Here is a 17,246-nt window from a genome sequence, read left to right on the forward strand (position 1 = left end):
ACATTTACTGTTTGTAAACTCAGAATTGCTGTGGGATAGAGGAAGGTGTACCTATTTTCATTCTCCAGTGTTACTACTTTGGGCAGTTAAAGGCTAAGAATGAACATTTCCAGGTCCCAAATAACCACCTGCCACCTTCCAAGTCCCAAAGACACCTGCTGGCACTGGTAACTACTATTTATTGCACGTCCACTGTGCACTGTGCACCAGGAACCACCATGCCCTGCATAAGCCTACCCTTCTTCATACCAGCAGGGAAACTGCAGCCAGGGAGCACTCACAGAGGGCACATGTGCCAGGCACCGTGCAAGTGCTGGGGACAAAACAATGAACCCTGCGACTGCCCGCCCTCAGGTGGTTTACAATCAAGTGGTAAACAGATCAATTAAAAAAAAAAAACCATGGATGTAAATTAAATAACACAATAAGATGCAGTCATTTGGAACAGGCCACTGTAGACGAGGAAAGCGAGGGCATTTGGCCTTAGAAAATGCATCTGTTCAAGGTCAAAGAGCAGGCTGGGCCACAGCTCTGGCTGGAACTCTCAGGGTCACACTTGAGCCACTGCTTCGTCCCACTCCCCATCTTATTTTTTTCTGTTTGGGGCCTGCTGGAACTCACTGCGGTAATACAAATGAGTCAGATTTCTCGACCACGAGAAGCATCCATTAATGTAAAAAACATTTTCTTGTTTGGGGTTGGTCCTGAGAGCTATCAAAAAATAAAAACCAGAACCATAAGTCAGACAGTATAATGGTCCCCTCATCGGGTATGTGTCCCACACTGTCTCAAATCACTAGAGAAGCTTCTCTAGCAGGCATCAAATGCTCTGTAGGGTGACAGCAGGTGGAGGCTGTAAGACTCATGTTTTTCACACTAGTGTTCTGCCTCTGCGGCTTTTCAACTCCCCAGGTGTAGGACATGGAAACACACGTAAATGATCTAAATGGCAGATAACAGTTTCCTTTAAATTTGCCTTTGGAATGCACTCTGGGCCTGCCCTTCCTAATCATGATCATCTTTGGCTCTGGTTAAAGTCTTATTCTCCAGAGCTCCTAACACAGGGGAATCCGGGCAGAAATCAGGGGCCGCCTGGTCTGTCCCAACTGTCTGTAGCAAATCCACATAACGATATGCCCAGGATTCCCATTCACTTGTTCCTAAACTAGACACAGACCATGCTACTTTGCCCTGGAACCTGGGGCCATCATCCACCCACCAAGATTTCACAACCACGTTGAATGTGGGCTGCAGATCAGGGTCATGGTGGTGCCCTGACATTCTTCTTCTTTTTTTTTTTGAAACAGGGGTTTTGCTCTGTCACCCAGGCTGGAGTGCAATGGTGCAATCTTGACTCACTGCAACCTCCGCCTCCTAGGTTCAAGCAATCCTCCCACCTCAGCCTCCTGAGTAGCTGGGACTACTTGCGCGCGCCACCATGCCTGGTTAATTTTTTGTATTTTTGGTAGAGATGGGGTTTCGCCATGCTGCCCAGGTTGGTCTTGGTTTCGAACTCCTGAACTCAAGTGATCCGCCTGCCTCGGCCTCCCAAAGTGCTGGGATTACAGGTGTGAGCCACTGCATCCAGTGTGCCTGGGAATCTTTAATTCCAGTTTGTAAACACTGTTCTATAATCCCATTTCCAAAATGTAAGCAACCTTTCAAGAAAAAGACAAATAAACTGTGAAGGACCACTCCCTATCCCTGTTATTTCGGCTCTTCAGCAGGACACCATGCGCTATGAAAAACGGCTTTTCCTTCTGAGATGGACTTTGGACCGCAGTCCCCGGGTCTATCAGCCCAAACAAATAAAACCCTATGCGCCAAAGATGTGCTCCTGGTCAGTGGGGCCTGTGAAGGCTTAAAAACCAGAACTGCTCTGTTCTCTTCTTTAATCTCCAATTCACTGTGGATCTTGAAATCCCTACTACCAACAGTGGTCCTACCACTCTTCTCATTTAAATTACTGAACACAACTAAACAAAACCACAAAATAAAACATCAAACCTGTCTGTCTGTATACCCAGCTGCTTCCAATGAAAATCTTCAGACATTTTAACTCATGGTTTTCTAAGGAGAACCAGAGACAATCCAAACGTAAGTAAACATATTAAATTTCTATTCTAAAAGTGGTGCTTTTAAGTAGTTGGATCAATGCTGATTTTCTCCTGGCTGGCTGGAGACACCAGCCCACACGGTGCTGAATTCAGAAGAGTACCGCATCTTGGTCTGCTTCAGTAAATACCGGTGTCTGCTAAGGCCCATTCTGAAGACACTGTACTATGTATGACACAGTCAGAACTGGTTCTTTATTTTAATGTGTAAAAATACATGAAAGAAAGTATAACAAACCTCATATATCGATGACCTGGACTCTAACACTTGTTAAACTTATCCCATTTTGCTTATCTTAGGTCCCCATTTATTTATACAGTATATTTTGCTGAACCTGTTTTTTTATTTTGATTTTTTCTTTTTTGAAACAGAGGCTCTCTCTGTTGCCCAGGCTGGAGTGCAGTGGCATGACCTCAGCTCACTACAACCTCCGCCTCCTGGGCTCAAGCAGTTCTTGTGCCTCAGCCTCCCGAGTAGCTGGGATTACAGATGTGCACCAGCACGCCTGGCTAATTTTTGTATTTTTAGTAGAGATGGGGTTTTATCATGTTGGCCAGGCTGGTCTTGAACTCCTGGCCTCATGTGATCTGCCTGCCTCGGCCTTCCAAAGTGCTGGGATTACAGTATTGTTTTTAATTGGAGAAAAGGCATACAAATTTATTAACGTGTATACAGGGAAAATCACAGAGTGATTATGATTTTAGAGAGTAAATTATAGATAGCATAACTCTTCACCCTTAAATACTTCAGCATGACTATTCAAAAAAGCACACACTCCTACATGACTCAGCACCGTTTCACACATAATCACATGAGCAACAGTTCCTCATTATAATCCACCATGGAGTTCATATTCAAATTTCCCGAACTGTCCCCCAATGTCTTTAATAGCCGTTTTGTTCAAACTTGGATCCAATCAAGGATTGCTAAGGAGTACCCTTTCCAAAGTAACATGTTAGACAAAAGAATGACTCACAGAAAGTCAGAAGGGCTGGAACCTGACAGTAAATTAGCATCCCACCTACTTTCTTTTTAAGAGAAAATGATCTATGATTTGACAAACAGCAACTGCTCTTAATATTTCCATGCATTTTCTTCCAGTTATTTGTTTTCTTTTCATAAACACACCCATATATGCAGTTGTGAAAAAACTGTCTTGCTACTGATCAAATGCTACCGCAACTTCTTCTGGCAAGAGGAGGCAAAGACCTGGTGAAGTCTCGCATATGTCATCTCTGGCATGCCTGCCAGCCGGCCGGTCTCCTGGGTCAATAACTGTGATAAAAGGCCGCTGAGTGCGTCAACAGACTGTCCTGCACTGAGACACTATTAAAGGTCCTTGAGCTCCAAATGTACCACTGCACTGCTCTGTGGCCCTGCCAACTTCCTCCTCCTCAAGCTGACATGACCCCAAGCCCTAGAGAGACAGAGTAGGTGTTAAGAGAGGCTGTTGTCCCACTTCCTGGGTGTCCAGGATGGATAAATGAAAGATTTTACAGAAAGTACCTTGAAAGTACTTTGGAACTTTTGGAAGTGCTATATATTTAAAAGCTGTTAATAACATTATCTAAATCAAAAAATATCACAAAAGCCTCAAACTCCTAGATATCAAAGCTTTGACCTGGGATATTTCTTTTTCTTTCTTTCTTTTTTTTTTGAGACAGTTTCACTCTGTCACCCAGGCTGGAGTGCAGTGGCGCAATCTCGGCTACTGTAACCTCCACATTCTGGGTTTAAGCGATTCTCCTGTCTCAGCCTTATGCCTGTAGCTGGAAATACAGGTGCCCACCACCAGGCCTGGCTAATTTTTGTATTATTAGTAGAGACGGGGTTTCGCCAGGTTGGCCAGGCTGGACTCGAACTCTTGACCTCAAGTGATCCGCCTACCTTGGCCTCCCAAAGTGCTGGGATTACAGGCGTGAGCCCCTGTGCCTGGCTGACTTGGAACATTTCTAAAAAAGTAAAAATGTTCAGCCAGGCGCGGTGGCTCACACCTATAATCCCAGCACTTTGGGAAGCTGAGACAGGTGGGTCATGAGGTCAGGAGTTCAAGACCAGCCTGGCCAAGATGGTGAAACTCCATCTGTACTAAAAATACAAAAATCAGCTGGGCGTGGTGGCGGGTGCCTGTAATCCTAGCAACTCAGGAGGCTGAGGCAGAGAATTGCTTGAACCTGGGAGGCGGAGGTTGCAGCGAGCTGAGATCATGCCACTGCATTCCAGCCTGGGCGACAGAACGAGACTCCATTTCAAAAAAAATAAAAATTTTCAACAGACACATACTGCACCAAATGAAACATCTCGAGCTGAACTAAACTCTCAGCCAAACCAAGCCATCATATTGAGAGAGGAATCATCTTATTCCTCAGGAGAATTGTGAATTTTCTTGAAATCATGTTGGACTACCTGTGCTTTCTGCTCTGGAAGGTGATTCCCCAGGCACTTCAGCTCTGCTGCTGGGCCAGTCTCTCAGAGAAAACTGCCTCCTTGCTTCTTCCTGGAAAGGAAGCCCAGGGCTTTCTTACCTTGTTTCCAGGGGTACAGATGACTTCGTTTCAAGGGCTTCTGTTTTTCAATAGCATTGCCCATTTTAAAGCCAGAGGACACAGGGCCCTTCCCAGCCCCAGCGTCTTTCCGGAGCAGCAACTGAGGACCGAGTCACTGGCTGAAAGGGGATATCTCTTGGACATCCCAAACCACCCAGCGGCAGAACCCAGGCAGCCTCACAAGGGAAGCCTGAGGAATCTCATTCTCAAGTCTTTGCCTTCTGCCTTTCAAAATCCCTTTGGCCCCAGGGAGGAAATCAGAAGAAAGGGCTTGTTATCGCCCTACCGGTGCCTCTCAGGCATGGTCTATATTAAGAAGCTCTTTCCTCAGCATCCTTTTGACACTTTATTACTCATCAGCACAACAGCGGCTTGCAAGATGAATTTTATGTCCAAATACTTTTAATACCACTTTTCTCCGCAGGAGAAATGGGGAATCAGGTGATCAAAATGCTGAAAGTCATAAATGAACCATTCTGGGGCATGCCAGGAGAAACATTTTCATACAGACCCTTATGCCACGCCTTCTATTTCAGAGTCCCACGCTCAGACCAGTGTGCACCACGTAACAAGTACTGTCAGAGAAAACAAGCTGATTTCACTAATGCTGTGTTTCCAAGGGAAACACAAAACGAAACAAAACATCAAAACACTGCTACACCTCAGTCTCCAAAGAAGAAAACACCTTGGGGACAAATACAGCTAAGAATTTATAACCCCAAGCTCCAAACTCCCACTGCACTTTGGGAACAATTTTGCTGGAGAAAGTGCTACGCTACCTAAATTCTGAACAAAGGGTTTTCTAGAAGAAAAGAAGGGAATGAAATCAATCACATATTCTTGGTAAAAAGGAAGACAATGTCGAGGTGGATGAAAAGATTTCATTTATTTCAGTCCCAGAGTTTGAGGTTATAAAAGCCCCTAAAGAATCCCCACAGCATAATATGGGTAAGAATGCAGGCTCTGAGCCGGGCGAGGTGGCTCACGCCTGTAATCCCAGCACTCTGGGAGGCTGAGGTGTGTGGATCACTTCAGGCCAGGAGTTCAAAACCAGACTGGCCAACATGGTGAAACCCTGTCGCTACTAACAATACAAAAATTAGCCGGGCGTGGTGGGACGAAGCTGTAATCCCAGCTACTTGGGAGGCTGAGGCAGGAGAATCACTTGAACCTGGGAGGTGGAGGCTGCAGTAAGCCGAGATCACACCACTGCACTCCAGCCTGGGTGCAAATACTAGCTCTTCCCCTTGGCTTTGCCAGTTGAGCACAGCAGCCTCAGTTTCCTTATCTGTTAACTGGGCATAATTCCAGTCTCACCTCCTCAGCTGTAATAAGAATCAAACAAAAGAGAACATTTGTGAAGTACGTAGCATGCTGCCTGACACTCAGGAGGTCCCTGGTGAATATTTAACTTTTTTTTTTTTTTTGGAGTCAGGGTCTTGCTGTGTCACCCAGGCTGGCGTGCAGTGGTGCAATCATGGCTCACTGCAACCTCAACCTCCCTGGCCCAAGCAATCCTCCTCCCTCAGCCTCCAAAGAAGCTAGGACTACAGGTGCATGCCACCTCGCCTGGCTAATTTTTAAATTTTTTTGTAGAGACAGGGTCTCCCTATGTTGCTCAGGCTGGTCTCAAACTCCTGGTCTCAAGTGAACCTCCTGCCTCAGCCTCCCAAAGTCCTGGGATTACAGGTGTGAGCCACTGCACTGTGCCTATTATCACCTTTTTTTTTTTTTTGAGACAGAGTCTCACTCTGTCACCCAGGCAGGAGTGCAGTGGTGCAATCTCAGCTCACTGCAACCTCTGCTTCCTAAGCTCAAGTGATTCTCTTGCCTCAGCCTCCTGAATAGCTGGATTACAGGTGTGCGCCACCACACCCAGCTAATTTGTGTATTTTTAGTCGAGATGGGGGATCTGCCACGTTGGCCAGGCTGGTCTCAAACTCCTCACCTCAAGTGATCCGCCCGCCTCGGCCTCCCAAAGTGCTGGGATTACAGGCGTGAGCCACCACGCCCAGCCCTTCATCACTTTTATAATTGTAGACGGAAAATACATTAGCTTAGGTGGCAGATATCTGGCTTCGGTCAATTTAGTCAAAAGCACCAAAGTAAATTTATTTTACAGAGTTGGATGGTACAAAATGGGAGCAAGTATAGAACCGGAGTAATATTTGGGACAACATTCCAAAAAAGACCCACAGAACCAGAGAGACCAAGTTTAAGAGGCACTTAATGCTCTGTTAAGTTTCTGGGCGCAGTGGGCCACTGTGTTAAACCAGGCCCTTCCTTTCTGAAGGAAGGGGAAATAATCTTTCCAATTTATGCAAAACAGACAAAAACCAAAATCCAAATCTCTACAAGATCTTAAGGCCTCATAATTGATCTACCAATACAGAGATCATTTTTGCAAAATCACGGCCTGAGAGTCCAAACTTGGCAAAGCAAATGGCATGTGTCTGTCGCACCGTCTCCAATGAGGTGGCAGGAAAGAGCATGGGTGCAGAGGCTCCCTGTTTCCCTCACAGAGCCCGCAAGCTCCTCCCCAGATTAAACTGCAGCCACAAACTGGAATAAAGCACAGGGAACCCCCACCACGCGAGAGGGGTCCAGTGAAAACTAACAGTTGCACAGCAGAATACCTGGCACACAGTAGGTGCTTAATAACTCTCTGTTGAATAAATGAGTGGATAGGTGACAGAATAAACCAATGAGAATTATCCCCAACATACACACACTGATTGTCCCCACCCCCTGGAATGCATTAACCAGAGTTTCTAATCCATAAACAACCTCTCCTCTCCTAGCAAGAGTCAGAGGGTATGGGCGGCTGGGGCGCTGTTTCCTCCACTTCCCCACTCCTTAGCTCAGGCCACTCTGGGCCCTGGAATTTCTTCCCTATCAGGAGTGCGAAGCCCCTGAAGTCAGGAGCCGTGTCTGGGGCAGCTCCTCCTGGCGCCTGTGCACACAGACAACAATGGGTCACAGTTACAGAACCTGGGCTCAGGTGTGCCCTCTCTCGTTTCTCAGCTGGGGGCCAACACATTTGTAACTGTGTTTCCATGAAAAAACGCATCCTAGGTTCCAAACAACTAATATACTGATGAACCTTTAGAATGAACTGGACATTTTTCCTTGAGAGAACAGCTTTGAAATGAGGACCCTGTGGTCCAACCCTTCTCAATCATGGCTCCCCCAAAATAACTCCAATGTGAACTGTTCAGGGGTAGGGGGAGGGGGAGAGCAACAGAATAACCTAATCTTAAGAATTCCTCTCTAATCCCCAGCTCAGAAAGCGTCTTTTACAGTCATCCCCTCTGCAGTGTCCCAGACTAAGCAAACAAACAAAAAAACATAGAGCCATCCCCAAAGACCAATATGCTTGCAATCCAAGATGGGCAAGCGACCCATCTCCAGTCCACATTTCAGGGAGACAACAGAAAATTTTTCTGATTCTTCACAAATGGGAAGAATCAAAAGTGAACTGTTACCAGAAGCAGAAGGCTGACTGCACAGCCACTGTGATGAGTTTCCAAGCCTTGCACAAATACGCCGAGAACGCTGTGGCTGTACGAACTGCCTTCAATCAGACCCGACCTGGCCATGTGTTATCAAGGTCACTCCTTCAGGTATGACTACTCCAAGCCTCAAATCTCTGTAAAACCCAAGGAGATCCACAAGATCATCTGCTCCAGCGACTCCCTTCCCCATTTCACAGATTCCTCAGAGAGGGGCAGGGATCAACGCTAGGCATTTAGTTGGAGGGCTGGATCCAGCCCCCAAATCTTTATCCTTGGCTAGGAAAACCTCTGCTACCCATTTCCTCATGACCAGAGGAGGCAGGAGGGCAGTGTGAAGGAATTGGCTTTGAAGGCCAGCTGGCCTGGTTTGAATCTATGGGGGCACTTCCTAGCTGAACAACTTTGGGATAGAAACTAAACCTTTCCACACCTTGTATTTTCACATACATTCATGTGTACCATTATGCTGTCTACTTCATGGGTAGTTTAAAGGTTAAATAAGAATTCAGACTTGGGAGGCTGAGGTGGGAGGTTGAGGCAGGAGAATCATTTGAGCCCAGGAGGTCAAGACTGCAGTGATTTGTGATCACACCACTGCACTCCAGTCTGGGCCACAGAGCGAGAACCCATCTCTAAAAAACTAAACTAAAATAAAGATGTTTAAAATTTGTTGGTACACAGCAGATACTCAATGAGAATAGCTGTCACTGTTTTTATTATTATTACCTATAAATCTCCAAGCTTTAGATACAATACATTGAAAAAAATTATTTACCCTCACTAGGGATTTTCTCCCCCATATCAGAGTAAGATCCACTGCAATATTCTAGTAAATAATCATTCTCTTAGTATAATTAAAATAAAATTTATCTTACAAACATCTGTACCTCAGGAATAATTTTTTTTTTTAAGAGACAGGGTCTCCCTATATTGCCCAGGTGGCCTCAAACTCCTAGGCTCAAGTGATCCTCCTGCCTCAGCCTCCCGAGTAGCTGGACTCCAGGAGGAATGATATTTTGATTGTGGAACATGACATAAGCCAGAGGGGTAATATTGTGGCCACTGAAGTAGGAAACATTTTAAGGAGTGCCTGTCCCTACACGCAAGACGCTGTTGGCTCCAGACGAACTCTGAGTCAGGATCCTGCAAGGCGGTGCTCACTTCTTGAAGGAGATTTTTTTTTTTTTTTAGATAGAAATGGCTCAGAAGGGAAGGGCTCGTGGATCCCTGTAATGTGCACACTCACCCACCCAGAACCAAAGAAACAGAGGCTGGGCTCTCAGGCGGGTACCCGGTAGCTCACACAAAGCTTTGTGTATGGAATTTGTCTGCTGGGAGGAAAGTCTGATGTTGGTCACTTCCCTCCTGGAGAAAAATACAACAATACGAGGAAGCGCCAAGCACTGTGGGAATGTTCCAAGTGTGAGTTCCAGCTCAGCCCAGAATATAAACAAAAGCGATGACCAGCCTGGAGGTCAGGCCTAGCAAAGCACTGAGGCAGAAAGTCTGGGAGGCACTCTTCTGTCTTCTGGGGTCCTCTAGACTCTGCCTTTTTTTTTTTTTTTTTTTTTTGAGACAGTCTCCCTCTGTTGTCCAGGTTGGAGTGCAGTGGTGCAATCACAGCTCACTGCAGCCTCCAACTGCTGGGCTCAAGCAATCCTCCTGTCTCAGCCTCCTGACTAGCTGGGACTATACGCACTTGCCACCATGCCTGGTTAATTAGTAAAATTATTTTTTGTAGAGATAGCATCTTGCTTGGTTGCCAGGCTGGTCTCAAACTCATGGCCTCAGGTGATCCTCGAGCCTCAGCCTCCCAAAGTGCTGGAATTATAGGCATGAGCCACCGAGTCTGGCCGAGACTGCTTTGAAGTAACTTTCCTGTCCAGGCCTGGAGGAAATCATCGAAGGCAAAGGCCACCACGTGTCGAATGTCATAGGAAATACAAGCTCAGGGACTCTCTTATGACACATCTGCAAACTTATAGATCAGTCTCAGAATGTCATAGCTGGAGGGGCCTCAGAGATTTACTCAACAAATACCAACACGGAGCTTGGGGAGGGTCGGATAACATGCACGAAGAATCACTTAGTTATCCCGGTGATCAGTGCTAAATTCAGGGTGGGGGACGCATGTCTAGCAGGGCGACCTAATCTAAGCTGGAAGTCAGGGAAGGGTGAGACTTGAAGGATGAGCAGAGCTGGACCAGGCAAAGGGGCAGTGTGTATGAAAGACCTGTGTAGCTGGAGGTATGTGCCCAGGGGAAGGCCGGGGGTCAGATGGGACAGGGCCTTATAGATCCAGGGCTTTGTCTCATGGGCTTTGGGGGTTCCTAAGGTGCCGGCAAACCACGTGTTCATTCTTCTGGGAAGAGAGGTCTATGGCTTTCACCAAAGTCTTAAGGAGTTTCAAGAGGTTAAGAATGGCCGGGCACGGTGGCTCACGTCTGTACTTAGGATCCCAGCACTTTGGGAGGCCAAGGTGGGCAGATCACAAGGTCAGGAGATAGAGACCATCCTGGCCAAGATGGTGAAACCCCATCTCTACTGAAAATACAAAAATTACCTGAGCATGGTGGTGAGCACCTGTACTCCCAAGCTACTCGGGAGGCTGAGGCAGAAGAATCACTTGAACCCGGGAGGTGGAGGTTGCAGTGAGTGGAGATTGCACCACTGCACTCCAGCCTGGTGACAGAGCGAGACTCCCTCTCAAAAAAAAAAAAAAAAAAAAGAGGTTAAGAACTACTGATCTAGCCCAACTCATTACAATAAAATGGAGAAACTGAGGTCCAGAGAAAAAAGACCTTTCACAGGAGGCTAGAGGCCCCAAGTCACTGACTCCCATTGCAGTGCTCTCCCACAGCTAGCCCGCCGACCCACGTCTGCAGGGGATGTGTCAACAACTACATATGCTGGCTCCCATCCCACTGGCCACTGCTGCTGGATCCCACACGAGGCTGCTTCTATCCAGGCAGGCCTAGAAGGACAATCTACGGAAATGAACTGCAAAGTCACCAGCCCATCTTTCTTGTGCAACCTAATCTGCAAAACACAGGGGCTCAGAACCTGTCCCTTGCTTCAGATTTCAAGGACCCCCCCAATGATACAGTTTCTGGCTTTTCAAGAAGCTTCATGGATGAGGCTGGTTCACTGAAGGGCAATCAGGGCTCAGCATCCAGCCTTCTGAAGAAGCTGTTTACTTGTTGTTCTTTACAAAGTCAGGACTTGGCCAGGAACTAAACGTAGCCCTCAGTATGGGAAAGGGAGAAATTTGGAAGACTTGGTGGAAAGTCTAAATATGTAAGGAGAATGCTTCTTAAACCCCTGATGTGGCCAGGCACTATGGCTCATGCCTGTAATCCCAGCACTTTGGGAGGCAGAGGTAGGTTGATTACTTGAGCCCAGGCGTTTGAGACCTGCCTGGGCAACATGGCAAAACCCTGTCTCTACAAAAAAAGGAAAAACATAATTAGCTAAGCATTGTGTTATGTGTGTCTGTAGTCACAGCTACTCGGGGGGCTGAGGTGAGAGAATGGCTTGAGCCTGCGAGGCAGAGGTTGCAGTGAGCCAAGATCGCGCCATTGCACTCCAGCCCGGGTGACAGAGGCAGACCCTGTCTCAAAAAAATAAAATAATAAAAACCCCTCGATGCTTCCTGTAATACTAAAGGTAGAAGTCCTAAGTACGTGGATTGGCATTCAAGGCCTTTTGGAGTCTGGCCCCAAATTACCTTTCCCACCTTCATCTCCCACTTCCTCACACGGCGACTGGACACTGTGCATAGCCGTGCACCTGCCTGCCTGCACTGTAGCTCCTGTCCCTCCTCTCCAGCGAGTCAAAGGAAACCTCACAGCCAACATCCAGTGGACTCTCAAAGATCAGTGTTGAGGGTCCCACAGCCTCGGGTCCCACAGCCTCTGCTTCACTTGGACCATGGCAGTATTGGAAGGGGTAATGCCCGCACTGGGGAAGACTCCAGCCCCTCTCCTGGCCAGCCCGCTGACCTCAGCCTCCAGGCTGTGATGCCTCTGCCCTTTACAACTCCCCGCCTCCAGATAAACTTGACAGAGCCACTCACTGCTGATGGCCCTCTGCACTGAGCTGCATGAGGATGAACACGGTCACAGCCTGCACTCTGGCTGTGCTCCTCAAGCTTGTAAAAATGCACCTGTCTCCCTTAAGAGGTGTGGAGTCCATACACAATGGGTACTCACTATCCACTGAACAAAAATTAGTGAGCGTCAGCTATGTGCCAGGCACCATTCTGGGCTCTGGTGAAATAGCAGCCGACAGGGAGCTTACCTCCCAATGAGGGAAAATATCATAAAAAAGAAGCAAATAGGCCAGGCGCGGTGGCTCACACCTGTAATCCTAGCACTCTGGGAGGCCAAGGCAGGCAGATTGCCTGAGCTCAGGAGTTCAAGATCAGTCTTGGCAACATGGTCCCTGTCTCTATTAAAAACACAAGATATTAGCGAGGCATGGTGGTGCATGCCTGTAATCCCAGCTACCGGGGAGGCTGAGGCAGGAGAATCGCTTGAACCCAAGAGGTTGCAGTGAGCCAAGACTGCACCACTGCACTCCAGCCTGTGCAACAGAGTGAGACTGTCTCAAAAAAAAAAAAAAAAGGCTACATTTAAAGGGGGAAAAAGAGCGGGGGATGAGGGACAGAAAGTGATGCGCACCCTATCTGTTATTCTGGGCCCAGTGGTTAGGGCTGACCTCTCTGGGTGGCATCTGAACAAAGATGTGAGGCAGCTAGGGATAGGGAGCAAAGGACACAGGAAGAGGAACTCATGTTTGCCCAGTTCTTCCAATCGAGTACTCCCCAGCATGAACTCACCAAAACCCTACCGCAGGATCCATCTTATCAATGAGAAACTGATTTTTAAAAGGAGATGGGTGAGCAACTTTTCCCAAGATCACATGATCAGCAAACGGTGGCACCAGCAGCCTTTAAACCGTGGCTCTTGTCCATGGCTTCTCAGCAGGTGCCCTACAATATCTGGGGAATGAATGTTCCAGTAAGAGAACGGCAAGTGCAAAGGCTCTGAGGGAAAGGAACACCTGGAAGAAGAGCACAAAAGCCAGTGTGGCTGGGACACAGTGACGGGGAGAGGGGTGTCAGGGAGTGAGTTAAGGGCCAGAGTCCAGGGCGCACACAGGCCACGTCGAGGACCTCGGATCGCTTCACATGTGTGGGGAAGCCCCAGGCAATCATAAAGAGGATCCATGTGATCCAGTTCACACTCTGGCTGTGAAATGCAGAATGAATGGCTGTGAGTTGGGAGAAGAAACCAAGAAGCCGGTTAGGAAGGCATGGGGCAGTCCAGGGAGAAACGGCGGTGGCCTGGAGTAAGGGGTCAGCAGAGGAGGTACTAAGAAGGACCAGTCAGGATTTATTGGAGTAAATCGCAGGGGTTTACCGAGGGACTGGATGTGCGCTGGGAGAGAGGAGGCAAGGACACCCTCATTGTTTTCTCATCCAAACCAAGATTTCTAAGCCTGAACAATCGGATCAAAAATGGCATTATTTACTGTGATAGGGGAACCCAAGGTGAGTTACCAGGCAGAGAGTGAAGGGGAGAACCAAGAGTTCTGGTTCAGGTGCATAATGTCCTAAAGAGGGGCTGGAAACATGCATTTGAGAAGGACCAGTGTTTAGCTAGCTGGCTTAGTGCCACGGGACTAGGCTGCCTGTTCCCAAATGGCAATTCAGGAGACAGAAGAGCCCAAAACAGAAGGCTGAGATGAAACCCTTTACAGAGCACGTACACTTGATGCTGTAAAATTACTCATGGGAGTACTGCGTGACTTCAGATATAATTTAAATTTTAGAGGTTGTGGCTTTTTGTGTGTGTGTGTGAGACAGGGTCTCACCATGTTGCCTAGGCTGGACTTGAACTCCTGGGTTCAAGTGATCCTCCCACCTCAGCCACCAGAGTAGCTGGAACTACAGGCACATGCCACGGTGCTTGGCAAAATTTTAGTTTTCACGTTCTGGATGCTTAGTTTGTAAATGTCTTGCTTATCATGACTAATATGTCATCCAAATTAATCAGCTAATATCCCAAGGCACAATATACATTCAGAGTGAGATTCACCAAAGAGTTTTCTTCCCAACTGCTCAGCTTCTGGCCATCTCTTGTCAGGGCTCATTAGATCACTGTTGTTTTTCCCTCGCAATACTGCTGACAAGAAGCATGAACTGGAAGCAGAAGTGTCACCATTTTCTTGTTCACGTGTACTTATACTACTAGAAAAGTCTTCAGTCTGTGATGTCTTTTTGGGGCTATTATTAAGCTACTTCTCTATTTTATAAGGGTTTGTTTCAATACTGGGCAGCGGCTTCAACCTAGCTCTTCAACCCAGCTGGACAAGTCACATAAACCCTTCAGGGCTTTTTTTTTTTTTTTTTTTTTTTTTGAGACAGTCTCACTCTGTCACCCGGAGAGATAGTAGTAAGCTGATGTTCATTAGGCACTTAGCCCATGCAGTACCAGGCTCCTTTCTGTGTATTTTACTCTCGTGGTTGCATTAGATCCTCACGATAAGAGAAGGATACTGTTACTGTTCTCATTCTACAGAGGAGGAAACTAAGACACAGAGCTTTTCTTTGAGATCTGAAAGAGTTAAGATTTGTACATAGTCATACACCGAATTGGGGCAAAGTTAGGGGAATAGTTCATCTGACTATTGCCCACACAGCTATATTTTCTTCTTTTCTTTCTTTCTTTTTTTTTTTTTTTTGAGACAAGAGTCTCACTCTGTCACCCAGGCTGAAGTACAGTGGCACGATCTCAGCTCACTGCAACCTCCCCCTTCTGGGTTCAAGCGATTCTCCTGCCTGAGCCTCCCGATTAGCTGGGACTACAGGCATGGGCCACCACACCCAGCTAATTTTTGTATTTTTAGTAGAGACAGGGTTTCATCATGTTGGCCAGGCTGGTCTCAAACTCCTGACCTCAGGTGATCCGCCCACCTTGGCCTCCCAAAGTGCTGGGATTACAGGCGTGAGCCACCGTGCCCAGCCTTGGGCCTCAGTTTTCTCATCTGTAAAATGAGGCCACTGTCACCTCCTTCCAGTGCTTTTGAGAGGATTAAATACACATAGCACAGCTCCTGGCATTACTGCACAGAAATTCTTTGTTACGTCATCATCATCATCATTATTATTATAAGGGCAACCTTTTATCTTACAGGTAAGTCCCTATGACCCTTCCAATTCCTCTCCAGACTTTGAGTGGTGGTTCCAAAGATACCCCCCACCTCTACCAGCAGTGTCACCCAGGGAACTCGCTAGAGATGCTCATTCTCAGCCCAACCACAGACCTACTGAATCAGAAACCAGGCGCCAGAGCCCAGAAACCTCCAGGTGCTGACGTTTGAGAGCCACCGAACAGGCAGGCAGCATTCTGGGTACCCGGCAGGTCCTCAGGACAGCGACCACCTGGCCCCAGATGACCCTGTCAGCAACACCTGCCAACATCACAGGCTGCAAGTTATCAATTTGTCACAAACATCAAGCTTCTTACCTGTCTTTCTGGCTGTTTCCTTTAACCTCCTCCCACAGTATATCACTTGCATAAAAAATGAAACTTCTTAGAAAAATCCTATGCCTGTATCTTTTCCACAGCAACAGAAAAAAAAATCTCTGTCCAAGTTAACCAAGACAAGTGTCCCTATATAATTATTTTTCCAACTTTCTCTATAAAACTTAAATTGACAAAAATACTAATATCCCTTTTATCCATTCCAAAGAATAACAATTTGAGATTTGATGTGATTTTTACCTTAAGATAATGTGATCTGGTTGTTATATGTACATGTTTATGTTTCTTGAACCAAACCATCCCAGATTTTGATGCTTCTAGGAGTGACTGGAACATGCCAAGTAGCAGATGCCCATGGGAGAACGGAGCCCCAGACAATCCCACCGACCCTCCCGCAGACTCCATGGACTTGACCTGCATTAGAACAGGCTGTGGACCTGAAGCAGTTCTCTCACTGCAAACCCAGACCCTCTCCAGTGCGAATTTGTGGAACGCGATAGATGTTAATGATTACTCCCTCAGTGTTTTCTCATCCAAATCAGGACATTTCGAAGGGGGTAGGGAGGACTCTGTTAATAATGATGCCAGGACAGCAGGCAGAAGCCGGGAAGTGTGCTCATCCCTCCATCTGTCACGCGCTCTGTCAGCACGGTGATCCTCAGGGTAATTTTCCTCTGGTGTCCGGATATCTAACTAAGAGGCTAGAAGAGAGGTGCATTGACAAGCAAAAATCCAGAGTCCAACCCTTCAGTCTAAGGCGAAGTCTCGTTTGGAGGGGTGTACTTGGACCCAGTCACAGCAAGCTCCATGAGGGCAGGAGACCTGACTTCTTTACCAGTGTTCCAGGCATCTATTGCCACCAACTGTATGGAATAGTCGCCGAAGAATTCAGCTCGAAGACGGGTCAGTGGCTTATACTGTATCTCCCTGATTCTAAGTCACAGACATTTGGCCCTCTGTAGCCATGGGTTCTGCATCTGTGGATTCAACCAACCTCAGGCAAAAAAAAAAAATGGATGGTTGTGTCTGTAACTGAAACACGTAGACTTTTTTCTTGTCAATATTCCCTAAGTAAGATGGTATAGCACCTATTTATATAGCATTTCCACTGTATTAGGTATTGTAAGTAATCTAGAGATAATTTAAAGCATATGGGAGGATGCATAGGTTATCTGCAAGTACTATGCCATTTTGCATCAGGGACTTGAGCATCTGTGGATTTTGGTATCCACTGGGGGTCCCAAAAATCAATCTCCCTTGGATACTGTAGTTTTTCACAGCTTCACTTTTGAAATCAAGGTGCGTTTTATAATCCACCTGCTAATGTATTTTCTCCTTTGTTTCCTGAGAAACATTAAATCGATAACGCCTTACATGTCTTATATGTGTTGGTGTCTTAGTGTCAAAAAAAAACCCCAAGGTAATTGGTTATCACCCAGATTCATAGAGAGACGTGTTAATGATACTCGTGGGAACAGAGACCCTATCGTGGCCATCTCCAGGTGGCGCTCCCACTCACA

The 17,246-nt window shown here is 46.9% G+C and overlaps 1 protein-coding gene across 13 annotated transcripts in view, besides 6 other annotated features; it reads right to left on the bottom strand.

The window, feature by feature from the left end:
- Nucleotides 1-17,246, bottom strand: part of RAPGEF1 (Rap guanine nucleotide exchange factor 1) — a 163,302-nt gene that overhangs the window by 128,205 nt on the left and 17,851 nt on the right. For 3 of the 13 annotated variants that reach the window (XM_047423251.1, NM_198679.2, XM_011518571.3), the window contains exon 1: nt 4,641-4,863. The exons of the other annotated variants lie outside the window; for them this stretch is intronic. In XM_047423251.1, the coding sequence (XP_047279207.1) occupies nt 4,641-4,704 (64 nt within the window). In that variant the 5' untranslated portion in view covers nt 4,705-4,863. Of the gene's footprint in view, nt 1-4,640; nt 4,864-17,246 lie in introns of those variants that run through there. 13 annotated transcript variants of the gene reach the window in all.
- Nucleotides 2,940-2,999: an enhancer, noted in NCBI's record as "active region_29208". NCBI's record gives its function as "activates an Ori minimal core promoter by ATAC-STARR-seq in GM12878 lymphoblastoid cells {active_cell/tissue: GM12878}" and the evidence as "EXISTENCE:reporter gene assay evidence [ECO:0000049][PMID:35858748]".
- Nucleotides 4,441-5,222: an enhancer, noted in NCBI's record as "H3K27ac hESC enhancer chr9:134584807-134585588 (GRCh37/hg19 assembly coordinates)". NCBI's record gives its function as "activates a minimal SCP1, AML or CMV promoter by ChIP-STARR-seq in naive H9 embryonic stem cells {active_cell/tissue: H9 hESC(naive)}" and the evidence as "EXISTENCE:reporter gene assay evidence [ECO:0000049][PMID:30033119]".
- Nucleotides 4,441-5,231: a biological region, named in NCBI's record as "H3K27ac hESC enhancer GRCh37_chr9:134584807-134585588".
- Nucleotides 5,132-5,231: an enhancer, noted in NCBI's record as "active region_29209". NCBI's record gives its function as "activates an Ori minimal core promoter by ATAC-STARR-seq in GM12878 lymphoblastoid cells {active_cell/tissue: GM12878}" and the evidence as "EXISTENCE:reporter gene assay evidence [ECO:0000049][PMID:35858748]".
- Nucleotides 7,089-7,590: an enhancer, noted in NCBI's record as "H3K4me1 hESC enhancer chr9:134587455-134587956 (GRCh37/hg19 assembly coordinates)". NCBI's record gives its function as "activates a minimal SCP1, AML or CMV promoter by ChIP-STARR-seq in primed H9 embryonic stem cells {active_cell/tissue: H9 hESC(primed)}" and the evidence as "EXISTENCE:reporter gene assay evidence [ECO:0000049][PMID:30033119]".
- Nucleotides 7,591-8,090: an enhancer, noted in NCBI's record as "H3K4me1 hESC enhancer chr9:134587957-134588456 (GRCh37/hg19 assembly coordinates)". NCBI's record gives its function as "activates a minimal SCP1, AML or CMV promoter by ChIP-STARR-seq in primed H9 embryonic stem cells {active_cell/tissue: H9 hESC(primed)}" and the evidence as "EXISTENCE:reporter gene assay evidence [ECO:0000049][PMID:30033119]".

Source organism: Homo sapiens, chromosome 9 (assembly GCF_000001405.40).
Source record: "Homo sapiens chromosome 9, GRCh38.p14 Primary Assembly".
Classification (NCBI taxonomy): Eukaryota; Metazoa; Chordata; class Mammalia; order Primates; family Hominidae; genus Homo; species Homo sapiens.